The following is a 19,690-nucleotide window of genomic DNA, read 5'->3' on the forward strand; positions in this document are numbered from 1 at the left end:
TCCAACCTGTACTCGCGTCGGAACCTGCAGACACTTGTGGAGGAGTCGGCAGAGCAGGCACAGCGGTGCGACGAGATGCTGCTTCTCAGAGCTGCTGTCCAACCTGCACTGGCGTGGGAACGAGAAGACACTCGTGGAGGCGTCGGCAGAGCAGGCAGACCAAGGAGTTCATCTTCTCAGAGCTGCTGTCCAACCTGCACTCGCGTGGGAACGAGAAGACACTCATGGAGGAGTCGGCCGAGCAGGCACAGCGGCGTGACGAGACTCGCGTGGGAAGAAGAAGACACTCCTGGAGGAGTCGGCAGAGCAGGCAGACCAAGGAGTTCATCTTCTCGGAGCTGCTGTCCAACCTGTACTCGCGTCGGAACCTGCAGACACTTGTGGAGGAGTCGGCAGAGCAGGCACAGCGGTGCGACAAGATGCTGCTTCTCAGAGCTGCTGTCCAACCTGCACTGGCGTGGGAACGAGAAGACACTCGTGGAGGCGTCGGCAGAGCAGGCAGACCAAGGAGTTCATCTTCTCAGAGCTGCCGTCCAACCTGTCCTCGCGTGGGAACGAGAAGACACTCGTGGAGGCGTCGGCAGAGCAGGCAGACCAAGGAGTTCATCTTCTCAGAGCTGCTGTCCAACCTGCACTCGCGTGGGAACGAGAAGACACTCGTGGAGGCGTCGGCAGAGCAGGCAGACCAAGGAGTTCATCTTCTCAGAGCTGCTGTCCAAACTGCACTCGCGTGGGAACGAGAAGACACTCATGGAGGAGTCGGCAGAGCAGGCACAGCGGTGTGACGAGACTCGCGTGGGAAGAAGAAGACACTCCTGGAGGAGTCGGCAGAGCAGGCAGACCAAGGAGTTCATCTTCTCGGAGCTGCTGTCCAACCTGTACTCGCGTCGGAACCTGCAGACACTTGTGGAGGAGTCGGCAGAGCAGGCACAGCGGTGCGACGAGATGCTGCTTCTCAGAGCTGCTGTCCAACCTGCACTCGCTTGGGAACAAGAAGACACTCGTGGAGGCGTCGGCAGAGCAGGCAGACCAAGGAGTTCATCTTCTCAGAGCTGCTGTCCAACCTGTACTCGCGTGGGAACGAGAAGACACTCGTGGAGGCGTCGGCAGAGCAGGCAGACCAAGGAGTTCATCTTCTCAGACCTGCTGTCCAACCTGCACTCGCGTGGGAACGAGAAGACACTCATGGAGGAGTCGGCCGAGCAGGCACAGCGGCGTGACGAGACTCGCATGGGAAGAAGAAGACACTCCTGGAGGAGTCGGCAGAGCAGGCAGATCAAGGAGTTCATCTTCTCGGAGCTGCTGTCCAACCTGTACTCGCGTCGGAACCTGCAGACACTTGTGGAGGAGTCGGCAGAGCAGGCACAGCGGTGCGACGAGATGCTGCTTCTCAGAGATGCTGTCCAACCTGCACTGGCTTGGGAACGAGAAGACACTCGTGGAGGCGTCGGCAGAGCAGGCAGACCAAGGAGTTCATCTTCTCAGAGCTGCTGTCCAACCTGTACTCGCGTGGGAACGAGCAGACACTCGTGGAGGCGTTGGCAGAGCAGGCAGACCAAGGAGTTCATCTTCTCAGAGCTGCTGTCCAACCTGCACTCGCGTGGGAACGAGAAGACACTCGTGGAGGCGTCGGCAGAGCAGGCAGACCAAGGAGTTCATCTTCTCAGAGCTGCTGTCCAAACTGCACTCGCGTGGGAACGAGAAGACACTCATGGAGGAGTCGGCAGAGCAGGCACAGAGGTGTGACGAGACTCGCGTGGGAAGAAGAAGACACTCCTGGAGGAGTCGGCAGAGCAGGCAGACCAAGAAGTTCATCTTCTCGGAGCTGCTGTCCAACCTGTACTCGCGTCGGAACCTGCAGACACTCGTGGAGGCGTCGGCAGAGCAGGCACAGCGGTGCGACGAGATGCTGCTTCTCAGAGCTGCTGTCCAACCTGCACTGGCGTGGGAACGAGAAGACACTCGTGGAGGCGTCGGCAGAGCAGGCAGACCAAGGAGTTCATCTTCTCAGAGCTGCTGTCCAACCTGTACTCGCGTGGGAACGAGCAGACACTCGTGGAGGCGTTGGCAGAGCAGGCAGACCAAGGAGTTCATCTTCTCAGAGCTGCTGTCCAACCTGCACTCGCGTGGGAACGAGAAGACACTCGTGGAGGCGTCGGCAGAGCAGGCAGACCAAGGAGTTCATCTTCTCAGAGCTGCTGTCCAAACTGCACTCGCGTGGGAACGAGAAGACACTCATGGAGGAGTCGGCAGAGCAGGCACAGAGGTGTGACGAGACTCGCGTGGGAAGAAGAAGACACTCCTGGAGGAGTCGGCAGAGCAGGCAGACCAAGGAGTTCATCTTCTCGGAGCTGCTGTCCAACCTGTACTCGCGTCGGAACCTGCAGACACTCGTGGAGGCGTCGGCAGAGCAGGCAGACCAAGGAGTTCATCTCAGAGCTGCTGTCCAACCTGCACTCGCGTGGGAACGAGAAGACACTCGTGGAGGCGTCGGCAGAGCAGGCAGACCAAGGAGTTCATCTTCTCAGAGCTGCTGTCCAACCTGCACTCGCGTGGGAACGAGAAGACACTCATGGAGGAGTCGGCCGAGCAGGCACAGCGGCGTGACGAGACTCGCGTGGGAAGAAGAAGACACTCCTGGAGGAGTCGGCAGAGCAGGCAGACCAAGGAGTTCATCTTCTCGGAGCTGCTGTCCAACCTGTACTCGCGTCGGAACCTGCAGACACTTGTGGAGGAGTCGGCAGAGCAGGCACAGCGGTGCGACGAGATGCTGCTTCTCAGAGCTGCTGTCCAACCTGCACTGGCGTGGGAACGAGAAGACACTCGTGGAGGCGTCGGCAGAGCAGGCAGACCAAGGAGTTCATCTTCTCAGAGCTGCTGTCCAACCTGTACTCACGTGGGAACGAGCAGACACTCGTGGAGGCGTCGGCAGAGCAGGCAGACCAAGGAGTTCATCTTCTCAGAGCTGCTGTCCAACCTGCACTCGCGTGGGAATGAGAAGACACTCGTGAAGGCGTCGGCAGAGAAGGCAGACCAAGGAGTTCATCTTCTCAGAGCTGCTGTCCAACCTGCACTCGCGTGGGAACGAGAAGACACTCGTGGAGGCGTCGGCAGAGCAGGCAGACCAAGGAGTTCATCTTCTCAGAGCTGCTGTCCAAACTGCACTCGCGTGGGAACGAGAAGACACTCATGGAGGAGTCGGCAGAGCAGGCACAGAGGTGTGACGAGACTCGCGTGGGAAGAAGAAGACACTCCTGGAGGAGTCGGCAGAGCAGGCAGACCAAGGAGTTCATCTTCTCGGAGCTGCTGTCCAACCTGTACTCGCGTCGGAACCTGCAGACACTTGTGGAGGAGTCGGCAGAGCAGGCACAGCGGTGCGACGAGATGCTGCTTCTCAGAGCTGCTGTCCAACCTGCACTGGCGTGGCAACGAGAAGACACTCGTGGAGGCGTCGGCAGAGCAGGCAGACCAAGGAGTTCATCTTCTCAGAGCTGCTGTCCAACCTGTACTCGCGTGGGAACGAGCAGACACTCGTGGAGGCGTTGGCAGAGCAGGCAGACCAAGGAGTTCATCTTCTCAGAGCTGCTGTCCAACCTGCACTCGCGTGGGAACGAGAAGACACTCGTGGAGGCGTCGGCAGAGCAGGCAGACCAAGGAGTTCATCTTCTCAGAGCTGCTGTCCAAACTGCACTCGCGTGGGAACGAGAAGACACTCATGGAGGAGTCGGCAGAGCAGGCACAGAGGTGTGACGAGACTCGCGTGGGAAGAAGAAGACACTCCTGGAGGAGTCGGCAGAGCAGGCAGACCAAGGAGTTCATCTTCTCGGAGCTGCTGTCCAACCTGTACTCGCGTCGGAACCTGCAGACACTCGTGGAGGCGTCGGCAGAGCAGGCAGACCAAGGAGTTCATCTTCTCAGAGCTTCTGTCCAACCTGTACTCGCGTGGGAACGAGAAGACACTCGTGGAGGCGTCGGCAGAGCAGGCAGACCAAGGAGTTCATCTTCTCAGAGCTGCTGTCCAACCTGTACTCGCGTGGGAACGAGAAGACACTCGTGGAGGCGTCGGCAGAGCAGGCAGACCAAGGAGTTCATCTTCTCAGAGCTGCTGTCCAACCTGCACTCGCGTGGGAACGAGAAGACACTCATGGAGGAGTCGGCCGAGCAGGCACAGCGGCGTGACGAGACTCGCATGGGAAGAAGAAGACACTCCTGGAGGAGTCGGCAGAGCAGGCAGATCAAGGAGTTCATCTTCTCGGAGCTGCTGTCCAACCTATACTCGCGTCGGAACCTGCAGACACTTGTGGAGGAGTCGGCAGAGCAGGCACAGCGGTGCGACGAGATGCTGCTTCTCAGAGATGCTGTCCAACCTGCACTGGCGTGGGAACGAGAAGACACTCGTGGAGGCGTCGGCAGAGCAGGCAGACCAAGGAGTTCATCTTCTCAGAGCTGCTGTCCAACCTGCACTCGCGTGGGAACGAGAAGACACTCGTGGAGGCGTCGGCAGAGCAGGCAGACCAAGGAGTTCATCTTCTCAGAGCTGCTGTCCAACCTGCACTCGCGTGGGAACGAGAAGACACTCATGGAGGAGTCGGCCGAGCAGGCACAGCGGCGTGACGAGACTCGCGTGGGAAGAAGAAGACACTCCTGGAGGAGTCGGCAGAGCAGGCAGACCAAGGAGTTCATCTTCTCGGAGCTGCTGTCCAACCTGTACTCGCGTCGGAACCTGCAGACACTTGTGGAGGAGTCGGCAGAGCAGGCACAGCGGTGCGACGAGATGCTGCTTCTCAGAGCTGCTGTCCAACCTGCACTCGCGTGGGAACAAGAAGACACTCGTGGAGGCGTTGGCAGAGCAGGCAGACCAAAGGAGTTCATCTTCTCAGAGCTGCTGTCCAACCTGTACTCGCGTGGGAACGAGAAGACACTCGTGGAGGCGTCGGCAGAGCAGGCAGACCAAGGAGTTCATCTTCTCAGAGCTGCTGTCCAACCTGCACTCGCGTGGGAACGAGAAGACACTCATGTAGGAGTCGGCAGAGCAGGCACAGCGGCGTGACGAGACTCGCGTGGGAAGAAGAAGACATTCCTGGAGGAGTCGGCAGAGCAGGCAGAGCAAGGAGTTCATCTTCTCGGAGCTGCTGTCCAACCTGTACTCGCGTCGGAACCTGCAGACACTTGTGGAGGAGTCGGCAGAGCAGGCACAGCGGTGCGACGAGATGCTGCTTCTCAGAGCTGCTGTCCAACCTGCACTCGCGTGGGAACCAGAAGACACTCGTGGAGGCGTCGGCAGAGCAGGCAGACCAAGGAGTTCATCTTCTCAGAGCTGCTGTCCAACCTGTACTCGCGTGGGAACGAGAAGACACTCGTGGAGGCGTCGGCAGAGCAGGCAGACCAAGGAGTTCATCTTCTCAGAGCTGCTGTCCAACCTGCACTCGCGTGGGAACGAGAAGACACTCATGGAGGAGTCGGCCGAGCAGGCACAGCGGCGTGACGAGACTCGCGTGGGAAGAAGAAGACACTCCTGGAGGAGTCGGCAGAGCAGGCAGACCAAGGAGTTCATCTTCTCGGAGCTGCTGTCCAACCTGTACTCGCGTCGGAACCTGCAGACACTTGTGGAGGAGTCGGCAGAGCAGGCACAGCGGTGCGACGAGATGCTGCTTCTCAGAGCTGCTGTCCAACCTGCACTGGCGTGGGAACGAGAAGACACTCGTGGAGGCATCGGCAGAGCAGGCAGACCAAGGAGTTCATCTTCTCAGAGCTGCTGTCCAACCTGTACTCGCGTGGGAACGAGCAGACACTCGTGGAGGCGTTGGCAGAGCAGGCAGACCAAGGAATTCATCTTCTCAGAGCTGCTGTCCAACCTGCACTCGCGTGGGAATGAGAAGACACTCGTGAAGGCGTCGGCAGAGAAGGCAGACCAAGGAGTTCATCTTCTCAGAGCTGCTGTCCAACCTGCACTCGCGTGGGAACGAGAAGACACTCGTGGAGGCGTCGGCAGAGCAGGCAGACCAAGGAGTTCATCTTCTCAGAGCTGCTGTCCAAACTGCACTCGCGTGGGAACGAGAAGACACTCATGGAGGAGTCGGCAGAGCAGGCACAGAGGTGTGACGAGACTCGCGTGGGAAGAAGAAGACACTCCTGGAGGAGTCGGCAGAGCAGGCAGACCAAGGAGTTCATCTTCTCGGAGCTGCTGTCCAACCTGTACTCGCGTCGGAACCTGCAGACACTCGTGGAGGCGTCGGCAGAGCAGGCAGACCAAGGAGTTCATCTTCTCAGAGCTGCTGTCCAACCTGTACTCGCGTGGGAACGAGAAGACACTCGTGGAGGCGTCGGCAGAGCAGGCAGACCAAGGAGTTCATCTTCTCAGAGCTGCTGTCCAACCTGCACTCGCGTGGGAACGAGAAGACACTCATGGAGGAGTCGGCAGAGCAGGCACAGCGGTGTGACGAGACTCGCGTGGGAAGAAGAAGACACTCCTGGACTAGTCGGTAGAGCAGGCAGACCAAGGAGTTCATCTTCTCGGAGCTGCTGTCCAACCTGTACTCGCGTCGGAACCTGCAGACACTTGTGGAGGAGTCGGCAGAGCAGGCACAGCGGTGCGACGAGATGCTGCTTCTCAGAGCTGCTGTCCAACCTGCACTCGCGTGGGAACGAGAAGACACTCGTGGAGGCGTTGGCAGAGCAGGCAGACCAAGGAGTTCATCTTCTCAGAGCTGCTGTCCAACCTGTACTCGCGTGGGAACGAGAAGACACTCGTGGAGGCGTCGGCAGAGCAGGCAGACCAAGGAGTTCATCTTCTCAGAGCTGCTGTCCAACCTGCACTCGCGTGGGAACGAGAAGACACTCATGGAGGAGTCGGCCGAGCAGGCACAGCGGCGTGACGAGACTCGCGTGGGAAGAAGAAGACACTCCTGGAGGAGTCGGCAGAGCAGGCAGACCAAGGAGTTCATCTTCTCGGAGCTGCTGTCCAACCTGTACTCGCATCGGAACCTGCAGACACTTGTGGAGGAGTCGGCAGAGCAGGCACAGCGGTGCGACGAGATGCTGCTTCTCAGAGCTGCTGTCCAACCTGCACTGGCGTGGGAACGAGAAGACACTCGTGGAGGCGTCGGCAGAGCAGGCAGACCAAGGAGTTCATCTTCTCAGAGCTGCTGTCCAACCTGTACTCACGTGGGAACGAGCAGACACTCGTGGAGGCGTCGGCAGAGCAGGCAGACCAAGGAGTTCATCTTCTCAGAGCTGCTGTCCAACCTGCACTCGCGTGGGAATGAGAAGACACTCGTGAAGGCGTCGGCAGAGAAGGCAGACCAAGGAGTTCATCTTCTCAGAGCTGCTGTCCAACCTGCACTCGCGTGGGAACGAGAAGACACTCGTGGAGGCGTCGGCAGAGCAGGCAGACCAAGGAGTTCATCTTCTCAGAGCTGCTGTCCAAACTGCACTCGCGTGGGAACGAGAAGACACTCATGGAGGAGTCGGCAGAGCAGGCACAGAGGTGTGACGAGACTCGCGTGGGAAGAAGAAGACACTCCTGGAGGAGTCGGCAGAGCAGGCAGACCAAGGAGTTCATCTTCTCGGAGCTGCTGTCCAACCTGTACTCGCGTCGGAACCTGCAGACACTTGTGGAGGAGTCGGCAGAGCAGGCACAGCGGTGCGACGAGATGCTGCTTCTCAGAGCTGCTGTCCAACCTGCACTCGCGTGGGAACAAGAAGACACTCGTGGAGGCGTTGGCAGAGCAGGCAGACCAAGGAGTTCATCTTCTCAGAGCTGCTGTCCAACCTGTACTCGCGTGGGAACGAGAAGACACTCGTGGAGGCGTCGGCAGAGCAGGCAGACCAAGGAGTTCATCTTCTCAGAGCTGCTGTCCAACCTGCACTCGCGTGGGAACGAGAAGACACTCATGTAGGAGTCGGCAGAGCAGGCACAGCGGCGTGACGAGACTCGCGTGGGAAGAAGAAGACATTCCTGGAGGAGTCGGCAGAGCAGGCAGAGCAAGGAGTTCATCTTCTCGGAGCTGCTGTCCAACCTGTACTCGCGTCGGAACCTGCAGACACTTGTGGAGGAGTCGGCAGAGCAGGCACAGCGGTGCGACGAGATGCTGCTTCTCAGAGCTGCTGTCCAACCTGCACTCGCGTGGGAACCAGAAGACACTCGTGGAGGCGTCGGCAGAGCAGGCAGACCAAGGAGTTCATCTTCTCAGAGCTGCTGTCCAACCTGTACTCGCGTGGGAACGAGAAGACACTCGTGGAGGCGTCGGCAGAGCAGGCAGACCAAGGAGTTCATCTTCTCAGAGCTGCTGTCCAACCTGCACTCGCGTGGGAACGAGAAGACACTCATGGAGGAGTCGGCCGAGCAGGCACAGCGGCGTGACGAGACTCGCGTGGGAAGAAGAAGACACTCCTGGAGGAGTCGGCAGAGCAGGCAGACCAAGGAGTTCATCTTCTCGGAGCTGCTGTCCAACCTGTACTCGCGTCGGAACCTGCAGACACTTGTGGAGGAGTCGGCAGAGCAGGCACAGCGGTGCGACGAGATGCTGCTTCTCAGAGCTGCTGTCCAACCTGCACTGGCGTGGGAACGAGAAGACACTCGTGGAGGCATCGGCAGAGCAGGCAGACCAAGGAGTTCATCTTCTCAGAGCTGCTGTCCAACCTGTACTCGCGTGGGAACGAGCAGACACTCGTGGAGGCGTTGGCAGAGCAGGCAGACCAAGGAATTCATCTTCTCAGAGCTGCTGTCCAACCTGCACTCGCGTGGGAATGAGAAGACACTCGTGAAGGCGTCGGCAGAGAAGGCAGACCAAGGAGTTCATCTTCTCAGAGCTGCTGTCCAACCTGCACTCGCGTGGGAACGAGAAGACACTCGTGGAGGCGTCGGCAGAGCAGGCAGACCAAGGAGTTCATCTTCTCGGAGCTGCTGTCCAAACTGTACTCGCGTCGGAACCTGCAGACACTTGTGGAGGAGTCGGCAGAGCAGGCACAGCGGTGCGACGAGATGCTGCTTCTCAGAGCTGCTGTCCAACCTGCACTCGCGTGGGAACGAGAAGACACTCGTGGAGGCGTTGGCAGAGCAGGCAGACCAAGGAGTTCATCTTCTCAGAGCTGCTGTCCAACCTGTACTCGCGTGGGAACGAGAAGACACTCGTGGAGGCGTCGGCAGAGCAGGCAGACCAAGGAGTTCATCTTCTCAGAGCTGCTGTCCAACCTGCACTCGCGTGGGAACGAGAAGACACTCATGGAGGAGTCGGCCGAGCAGGCACAGCGGCGTGACGAGACTCGCGTGGGAAGAAGAAGACACTCCTGGAGGAGTCGGCAGAGCAGGCAGACCAAGGAGTTCATCTTCTCGGAGCTGCTGTCCAACCTGTACTCGCATCGGAACCTGCAGACACTTGTGGAGGAGTCGGCAGAGCAGGCACACCGGTGCGACGAGATGCTGCTTCTCAGAGCTGCTGTCCAACCTGCACTAGCGTGGGAACGAGAAGACACTCGTGGAGGCGTCGGCAGAGCAGGCAGACCAAGGAGTTCATCTTCTCAGAGCTGCTGTCCAACCTGCACTCGCGTGGGAACGAGAAGACACTCGTGGAGGCGTCGGCAGAGCAGGCAGACCAAGGAGTTCATCTTCTCAGAGCTGCTGTCCAACCTGCACTCGCGTGGGAACGAGAAGACACTCGTGGAGGCGTCAGCAGAGAAGGCAGACCAAGGAGTTCATCTTCTCAGAGCTGCTGCCCAACCTGCACTCGCGTGGGAACAAGAAGACACTCGTGGAGGCGTCGGCAGAGCAGGCAGACCAAGGAGTTCATCTTCTCAGAGCTGCTGTCCAACCTGCACTTGCGTGGGAACGAGAAGACACTCATGGAGGAGTCGGCAGAGCAGGCACAGCGGTGTGACGAGACTCGCGTGGGAAGAAGAAGACACTCCTGGAGGAGTCGGCAGAGCAGGCAGACCAAGGAGTTCATCTTCTCGGAGCTGCTGTCCAACCTGTACTCGCGTCGGAACCTGCAGACACTTGTGGAGGAGTCGGCAGAGCAGGCACAGCGGTGCGACGAGATGCTGCTTCTCAGAGCTGCTGTCCAACCAGCCCTCGCGTGGGAACCAGAAGACACTCGTGGAGGCGTCGGCAGAGCAGGCAGACCAAGGAGTTCATCTTCTCAGAGCTGCTGTCCAACCTGTACTCGCGTGGGAACGAGAAGACACTCGTGGAGGCGTCGGCAGAGTAGGCAGACCAAGGAGTTCATCTTCTCAGAGCTGCTGTCCAACCTGCACTCGCGTGGGAACGAGAAGACACTCATGGAGGAGTCGGCCGAGCAGGCACAGCGGCGTGACGAGACTCGCGTGGGAAGAAGAAGACACTCCTGGAGGAGTCGGCAGAGCAGGCAGACCAAGGAGTTCATCTTCTCGGAGCTGCTGTCCAACCTGTACTCGCGTCGGAACCTGCAGACACTTGTGGAGGAGTCGGCAGAGCAGGCACAGCGGTGCGACGAGATGCTGCTTCTCAGAGCTGCTGTCCAACCTGCACTGGCGTGGGAACGAGAAGACACTCGTGGAGGCGTCGGCAGAGCAGGCAGACCAAGGAGTTCATCTTCTCAGAGCTGCTGTCCAACCTGTACTCGCGTGGGAACGAGAAGACACTCGTGGAGGCGTCGGCAGAGCAGGCAGACCAAGGAGTTCATCTTCTCAGAGCTGCTGTCCAACCTGCACTCGCGTGGGAACGAGAAGACACTCGTGGAGGCGTCGGCAGAGCAGGCAGACCAAGGAGTTCATCTTCTCAGAGCTGCTGTCCAAACTGCACTTGCGTGGGAACGAGAAGACACTCATGGAGGAGTCGGCAGAGCAGGCACAGCGGTGTGACGAGACTCGCGTGGGAAGAAGAAGACACTCCTGGAGGAGTCGGCAGAGCAGGCAGACGAAGGAGTTCATCTTCTCGGAGCTGCTGTCCAACCTGTACTCGCGTCGGAACCTGCAGACACTTGTGGAGGGGTCGGCAGAGCAGGCACAGCGGTGCGACGAGATGCTGCTTCTCAGAGCTGCTGTCCAACCTGCACTCGCGTGGGAACGAGAAGACACTCGTGGAGGAGTCGGCAGAGCAGGCACAGCGGCGTGACGAGACTCGCGTGGGAAGAAGAAGACACTCCTGGAGGAGTCGGCAGAGTAGGCAGAACAAGGAGTTCATCTTCTCGGAGCTGCTGTCCAACCTGTACTCGCGTGGGAACGAGAAGACACTCCTGGAGGAGTCGGCAGAGCAGGCAGACCAAGGAGTTCATCTTCTCAGAGCTGCTGTCCAACCTGCACTCGCGTAGGGACAAGAAGACACTCCTGGAGGAGTCGGCGGAGCAGGCATAGCGGCGCGACGAGATGCTGTGCATGCACCACGTGCTGAAAGAGGCTCTCAGCATCATCGGCGACATCAACATGAACACCATCAGCACAGCTACGGGGGCCCGTGGACGACTCCTAGTTGCAGGTACAGAGCGTCCCGGCTGGACCCAGGTACCAGGGCTGGCCCCCACTAGCCCCAAAGCCCCCCAGCCTCCATGGCTGAGCTTGTGGGCTCTTGGAACAGGCTCTGTGCCCAAGCTGGCAGACATGGGCTCTCTCTGGAGCTGTCAGAGAGCTCGTGGTTTATGGTGTAAGGGCTGAGAGCTTGGAGGGGGTTGTGTGCAGGGCTGTACTCTGAGGCGGCCAGAGGCCTAGGAATGTCATCCTGGGCACGCTGTAGCTGTTGTGAAGTCTGAGTCATGCTGCCAGGGAGGGCATCCAGCTCCCAGCCTGGGAGTGCTTAGAGCCAAATCTACTGCAGAGCAGGGGTGATAGTCAGGGTCCCACCTCCTCTATCTGTTGACAATCCAGTGGTGATCTAAGATAAAACCTTGAGACTCCCATACACACGGTCAACCCACAACACACCTCACAGGCCAGGCAGGGACACACAGTCCCCTTCCCTCCCTCCCAGGTACCATCATAGCTGCTAGCGTGTGGCTGAAGGCAGGGTCCCTGGCCCCCGCTGAAGCACTACCGCCAGCCAGCAGGCTCACGCACCTTGGTCTGTTGCTTCTAGAGGTTGCTTCTGCTATTCAGCCGAGGGGACCATAGTGCATGCTGGCCCGGCTGAGCTCCACCCAGCAAGCCCACCCACCTCCCTTGCCATGGACTCTCCCTCTTCTGCTTTTCCCAGCCCTCACCTTTGTGACCTGCAACCCCCAACAAGCTGAGGCTCCCCTCTTAGACTTATAAGTCTATAGCCAGTGGCATCCAGCTGCCTGTCCTCCCTACCTCCCCCAGGGTCCCTTCAGAGGGTCCTGGGCTTTCTGACTGCCCAAAAGGGGCTCCGGCGATCACTCCAGCCATCCATCCCTTTTAGCTTCATCATCCTGGTTCAAGCAGTGTTCCTTCTCTATCAGGACTGGTGGCTGTTGTTTTGGGTTCCCAAAAGCAAGAGATGGCCCCGGGCCAGTGGGTTCAAAGACAGGGTGACCAGAGAAGAGGGACACTGGAGGGGGCTGAGCATTGCTCTGAACGGTGGGTGCACCGCCCTGGGTGCCCTGAAAGAGGCCAGCGTGTGTGGGGTGGGGAGGGCCGCCGGAGCCCCCAGGCACTAACTGTGGAGCATTGCTCTGAACGGTGGCTGCACCGCCCTGGGTGCCCTGAAAGATGCCAGCGTGTGTGGGGTGGGGAGGGCCGCTGCAACCCCCAGGCACTAACTGTGAAGCTCTGCCTCCCTCCTTCTTCCTCTCCTTTCCTTTCCAGCCCCACTTTCCCAGGAGCCTCGCCATACCCGCACCTGTGCCCTCCCCACCCCTGCCCTCCCACAGCTGCTGTGGCATGCCTGTGCTCTGCACTTGCCTCATCAGCTCTCTGCTCACTTTTCTCTCTCCTGCTTCTCTCTGCTTGCTTTTCTCTCTCCTGCTTCTCTCTGCTTTCTCTCCAACTGCCAGCTGATTGGGTCCGGCAAGACCATCCCATCCTCAGAGCCCCAGCCCCTCCTTCAACGTCTAAACAGATCCCTCCTCTTCTCAGTGACCTCCCTTTCCAAGCCTGCCTGAGCGGCTGTTCTGTGACTTGACAGTGGCTCCCCCAGCCCCAAAGCCAGCCCCCTACATCTGCGACTTAGTCTGTTGTAGTGGTGAGCTGACACATCCAGGTGTGACCACTGCTGAAAACTTGTGCCCCCTTTGTGATATGTCCCGTCCTGCTCTATAAATATCTATAAATACATATATATATATATATATATATATATATACATATACACACACACATGCAGCAACACCTGGCCGACCGCCTCGTCTCTAGCGCTGGGAATCAGTCACCCTGCTGTCCTTTTGGAGTCTTGTGGCCCAACAAGAGAAAGCTGTCCCCTGACATTGCTCCTCCAAAGTGCGCCACCTCCAGTGAGCCTCCCTGTCATGCCCAGCCTGTGGACAGCCAGCCCCTCCATCCCTCCCACCCCCCACCAAGCATGGGGGTGCTGTGCAGGCCTCTGTGTGGCCTGACAGTCTCTACCAGTCCTGCTGTCCCTTGGCTGAGAATCAAACCCATTTCTGGATGGCAGGGAAGTGTGTCCTCTGCTGGCTGTGTTCTGTGTGGAGCTCAGAGGACGGGAAAGGCCAAGCCATTTCTAGGGTGCTGTTGGGAGCTGTGAAAAGGTCACACCCTTTCCAAGGGACACTTTTCCTGGAAAGCCCCTGGAGCTTAGCTGGCTCTTATCCTGTGAAGCCGGCTCTGGCCACCAGGGGGCAGGGCCGTGAACTCAGCCTGGAGGGAGCCTGAGGGGCAGCCGGCACTCTGGAGGGACACAGACATAACAGGCCACCAGGTGCAGACAGGAGAGGGAGGCAAGGGGATGGAACGGAAGACACCTGGGGTGGGTGGAAGGCAGTGCCCTTAGGTGCTGGTACCTGTCTTCCCAGCCATGGCTAGATCACGCTTCTGAGCCTGTTGGCTGTCAGGGCCGGGCTGCGCCCCATAGGTGCCATGGCAGTCCCCGTGGAATCCCCCAGGCGTCACCAGGCAGCATACAGGTAACAGGCCTGGAAGGTCCCCAACAGCCCAGCTGGACACACTCAGACACTCCAGGGCTTCTCGTTCAGTGGCACAAACACCAGGACCCAGTGAGGGAAATGGGAACACACCAGGCTGAGCAGTATGGCTAAATCCGTTTATTCCAAAATAAAAAGCAAAATAAACAGGAGTCGCATCACCAGGAGCCATGACCCCATCCCCGCCTCCTTTCTCTGTCCTGTGCTAGCAATACATAAGTTTCCCAGCCACAAATAATGATCAGACCCTCCTCCCCATGTGCCAGCTCCAACCTCCTCTAGGTATGATACAGGGGCGGCCCTACCCTCTGGAATATACAAAACGTTACATAGATACAATATGTAAACCGGGAAGGGGGGCCACCCCAGCAGCCCGTGCCCTCACCTGGTCCACAGTTAGCCCCACTGTCCCGCCTCAGCTGCCTCTCTGAATAAGAAGATGGGAGCCCCCCCGAGGGAAAAGTTACTATGGTGAGAGTAAGGAGGCCATCAGACCTCCTCCAAACAAACCACCTCTGCCAGCCTCTGGCTCTTAAATAACAATCATCATCATCCAGAAATTTGAGGACTCAGCCCTGGTCAAGGCGGCAAAGGGTCTGTCTTTCCCCATTAGACAGAGGTCTTGTGTGGCTACCCTAATTGTAAAGGGGTGACTGGGAAGGGGTGGTAGGGTCATGGTGGCAGTGGAGACTCCAGCCCTACTTCTCCAGGCTTTGCTGACAGAGGCCTGCTTTTAATTTTTGTTTTTATCCCATGACTTTTTTTAAAATCCCGTAACTTCTTTTTCATAACTTTTTTTGTAACTTTTCATAAAATTTTTTTCTACTTTTTTGCCACAACTTTTTTACATTTTTTATCCCATAACTTTTTCACTCTGTAACATTTTTTAATCCCGTAACTTTTTTATTTTGTGTTCTTTTAACAAACACTTGCATAGCTATATTACAATTTTGTAAAAATGAAACAGATTATCTCATGCCAAGCGTGCCCAGCATTTGCACACTATCAACACCTTTAATACTATAGTTTTTCAAGACATGCAAAACAAAATTTTAAGTCAAAAACAGCGCTTTGCAACATTTAATAATTTATTACATTACAGTAGCATCACACTAGCAGTCAATAATGCCACTTTAGGCAAAAGTTTTTCAGTATTTCCATTATACCTTCTGTTTACAAGAATTCATAAATTGGTAAAATTCATTCTAAGAAAACTTGGCAAATAAAGCTTTGGACTGGAATTGGCATTTCTTTCTCTACTTTTCCTTTCCACCATTTCTTTCTTTTAAACTATAGCATTCATATTTTAAAATGTTTTATTTCAGAACTTTAAGATAGCAGTTACATTTTTTAATAGTTACATTATTTTTAAATGACTCTTTAAGATAAAGTTTTAGAGAAACTGTATTATGGATAGGGCTGATTTACATTTTCAAATTTTCTAAAAATCAGCTTTGGTTTTAGAACTGATTTCTTTTTTTCATTTCTGGAAAACCTATCAGGTTTAATCAAATACTTTAAAAATAATTATTATATATTGCAATCTTTAAATAGGTGTTTTGATTATTCCTGCAGAAATTCAAATTGATTCAGTTGAACTAGCATTTTAAAATTCTATGTTTCTGATGAACTCTAACCTTCCTTCTAAGCAAATCAAAAGCTGCATTGTACTGAATGAGGAAGAGCACAAATACTTGGCTCAATGAGGTATCGCAAAAGACTGTATGCACTTTGAAGAAAGACAAGTTAGTCATATGATTTCCATTCTTTTTAGCTTTCTCTTAAATATATGACAAATACTTACACAAAGAGTGGTATTTCAGTTAATGTAGTAAATTTATTTCCAGACTGACGTTCAGCTTAAATATGCCAGTATGTGATTTAATCCATAGGCACCTGATGAACACATTATTGTCAGATTGGTTACAGATGCTAAACGCTATCTGAAGGTCATTCGTAGTCATTGATATTTATCAGGGTAAAAGTGAAGTGATTTCAACAATAAAAGTACCTTTGAAATAATTTACCAATGTATTAGATAAACCCAGTTTCAGAATGATAAAGAAAAAACGTTAGGCCAAATAGATGTGGCTAATTAACAGTGGTATGATTTCTAGCCTGAGGGTTTAAAATGGACTTAAAGTAACTGTCTTTAAACTGAACTCAAAGAATGCAAAAGCAGCAAGTTCAGAAAATAAAAGGCAAGAACAGAACTTTAGGTCCATTTTAAACCCATGGGCTAGAAATCGTACCATTGTTAATTAGCTGCATTATTTGGTCTAACATTTTTTCTTTGTCATTCTGAAACTGGGTTTATCTAATACATTGATACATTCATACAATTTGGAAGAGTCAGTTGAAGTCACAAGGACCCAATATTTGCGCTCTTGCAGTGAATGCAGGCAAATCTGTTATTCCATCGGTAAAATCATATTGTTGCTCTCCTGTTAATGTCATATTTAGAAAAGTATCATGAGGACGCCAAATGCTAAAAATGGAGATGGTCTAGTAACTAGAAATCCCCACCCCAGGGAGCGCACATACACATCTCCCTACATCCTAATAATGTGATGTGTTTTGGAACACAGACATTAGAACTTCATGAAGTTTGAACTGTTGAGTCTTTCCCAAGCATCATCAAGTTATGATTTAGGCAATGTATGACTGAAATCATTTGTTCATCATGCATAGGCACAATCACATAAATATTGCACAAAATATGTCCCTAACTGAAACCGAGAGGTACAAAAACATATTTCACTCTTAGTAAACAAGTTTGTCAGGAAATATAACTCTGTGATTGTATAGACACATTTCCTGATAATACATTGACATTCACAAACAGTAGATTGCACTGCAGTTTATAAACATTTTAAATTGCATAAACTTCTCCTTGATTTTCAAATATAATATGCTGTCTATAAAATACTGTCTACTAAAACTCCTTTTTATTTCAACTAAGTACTCTCACTTATATTAGTTTATAATAATGTTTGTTATTATTTTTTAAAGTGTTTTCCATTCAAGGAAAAGAAGTAAATTCCTATGTCAGAGTAAGCAAGGTGGTTGAAGAATAGGTATTAGCCACAGAGGTCTAGATGGTAAAAATCAATCTTCAAGCCTCAAAGAAGCTCCATGAACAGAGAGGAATGCCAGGTGTCACAAGCTTTCCTTCACTCTAATTCATTCTTGACTAGAGCCTGTATGCCTGTTCCAGGGACATTTAAACTCCTAAAGGATTTCTTATGATCTTTACTAAATAAGAAGAATGCCAGCCAGCACTCTTTTGTGTACTGGGACATGTGGTCATGTGATTAAAACAGGTAACATCAACTCTGACTTTAAAATGTATTATAGACACAAATGCTCTAAGCTAGGAAATGTTTTCCACATCTACAGTCAACGAAGGGAGCCTTTCGTTCCTCAGAAATGATCGGTTTTTAGGTCATCGAGAAAGAGTACAACTGCTGCAGCTCATGATGCAATATCTTCATGAGCCCAGAGCACATACAAATCCGAAGGGAACTACCATAGTACAGCGCTAACTGTTGGCACCGGAACAAATGAAACACACTCTATCCTGCACATACCTGCCACGGCAGGCCACTTTCCTCTTCTGTGAGATTTTAAAAGCTCCCCCAAAATGTTATTACTCCCATCGCCAATACACAGAAAATAGGGGAAAGGCTGTTTCCAGTTCTCAGCCTTTAAACAACTCTAAATGTCAGTACTCATAGTGCCATATTACAAAGTAATAAAAAGTGCACACTTGGGGGCAAACCACATATTGAGCTAATGAAGAGGTCACTGTGATTAAGATTAGATCAAACAATAGCAGAACATAAGCAAATTTTATCTGAATTCCGTAATGAATATACATGCTGCAATAACATTAAAAAAGCATGGCAGCCTATTCCAAACCAGCAAGAATAATTTTGTGCAAATAGTGGGTCTTTGTGTATTTGAACTCCCACCACATAAGGGCAAACTCGATATGCATGCTAATGACCTACAACTATGAAACTAAAAAAGAAAAATGCTGAAGGATGCCAGAGTGAACATCAGTGAAAGCCACAGAGACCCACTCTCCTTTAACTTTTTACAAATAAACTTAAACTATAAATTACAAACACAAATAATCATGAGTGGCTCTAACATTCAAGTGAAGTAAATGAATTGGGTAGGAGATGAACCCCATAACTTTTTTTCCTTTTTTAAAATTTCTTGAGCAGCTCTTTGATGATGGTGATGTTTATCTCCTTCTTCTCAGCAGCCAAGCCCAGCGAAAGAATGGCATACGGGAGTTGCTGCACAAGCCTGGGTGCTCCACGCTGTCAGTGAGGCTCACCTCACAAAGATCTTTGGAGAGAAGGAGGTGGGGATCCGAGTGCAGTGAGAGCCTCCCCTGCCCCTGCCTGCCCACCCTGCCTGAGGACTCTACTCACCACCATGCTTGTCAGCACCCACAAGCTCCTGGGGGGCTGGGGCTCCTGGACCAGGCTCATCAGCAAGCTTCAGGGCAGTGGCCGGGAAATTTGCTGTGTCCCTCGTTGTAGTCACCACAAGCCACAACATCGTCTCCAGCAGCTCCAGCAGCTTCACCTGGAAGGGAGGGGTGCTCAGCTGTTATGCATCTACCGGCGCCCACCCTCACGCCCACCCCCACCCCTGCAGAGATGTTGCACACCCTACCTTCATCTCTTCCTTGTCCTGGACCAGCCTGATGATGTCCTCCTCCAGTTGCCGCATCTTTGGTACTGCCCCCTGGCTCTGTTCAAAGGTGATGAACTTTCCTGTGGGAGGACAGGACTCTGACGCTGAGGCCCCTCCAACAGCCCTGCAGCTCCCGCTGCCGTGCCCTGGCCTCCCGCTCACTGATGGCTTCTGTCTTTCCAGTACTGGATGAATCAAAGTTCTAGCTTCTCCACTCGCTCCCTCAGGTCCGCCTTCTCCTCCAGGAGGTCCATAAGGCCACTCTGGAGCCAAAATAATGGGTTCACATCTCGGCAGTGACCTGCCCCACCCCTGCCCTTCTTGGTCCATGCCAGGACTCACTCACCTCCAGCTTCTCCATGACCTCCTGCATAGCCTGGTGGGTCTCCCCACTCACAGAGTCACCCCCAGTCACTGGGGCTGGGACCGCTGCCTCTGGCTTCTTCTGGACTGAGGCCACCAGGTGAGCCATGCGCTGGCAGCACACCCTCTGCTCTTTCACCTGCTCTCGTAACCGTGCCTGCTCCTCCTGGGCATTGGCTCCAGCGGAGTTGAAAAATGCAACCTGAGGGCAAGAGGTGAGCATTATTGTAGAGGCATACACAGAACAAACAGGGCAGAGAGGTGGAGTGCAGCCCCTTCCCTTGGGGTCTCAGAGAGTGCATCTGTTGGTCACAGGTGAAATGGTGTCTGACCACTGGCTCCCGGAAAGGGTGAGTGTCCAGAGAAATCAGAAGGCAGGGAAACCAAGAGCATAAAGGGGTCTTGGAGGGACCACAGAGGGAGGTGGCAAAATGGGTACAGGGGGAGTCAGGCTCACCGTGGCCTCCCAGCTCTCCAGGTGCTCCGGGTTGCTCGGCATGGGCCGAGGTGCCTCCTCCTCCTCACTGTCCAGATGTCCTCCTCCATCTCCTGTGGGGGGTGGCCAGAAGGGTCCTCAGACAACCCAACAA

The 19,690-nt window shown here is 54.3% G+C and overlaps 1 pseudogene, besides 2 other annotated features; it reads left to right on the plus strand.

Annotated features, from left to right (window-relative positions):
• Nucleotides 9,690-10,889: an enhancer, noted in NCBI's record as "BRD4-independent group 4 enhancer chr15:102303375-102304574 (GRCh37/hg19 assembly coordinates)". NCBI's record gives its function as "activates an origin of replication core promoter dependent on BRD2, P300/CBP, MED14 and CDK7 cofactors, and independent of BRD4, by STARR-seq in HCT116 cells {active_cell/tissue: HCT116}" and the evidence as "EXISTENCE:reporter gene assay evidence [ECO:0000049][PMID:35650434]".
• On the plus strand, nt 11,147-13,541 carry DNM1P47 (dynamin 1 pseudogene 47; annotated as a pseudogene).
• Nucleotides 13,721-13,800: an enhancer, noted in NCBI's record as "active region_10196". NCBI's record gives its function as "activates an Ori minimal core promoter by ATAC-STARR-seq in GM12878 lymphoblastoid cells {active_cell/tissue: GM12878}" and the evidence as "EXISTENCE:reporter gene assay evidence [ECO:0000049][PMID:35858748]".

The sequence above is a fragment of the Homo sapiens genome, chromosome 15 (genome assembly GCF_000001405.40).
Source record: "Homo sapiens chromosome 15, GRCh38.p14 Primary Assembly".
NCBI classification, from domain to species: Eukaryota; Metazoa; Chordata; class Mammalia; order Primates; family Hominidae; genus Homo; species Homo sapiens.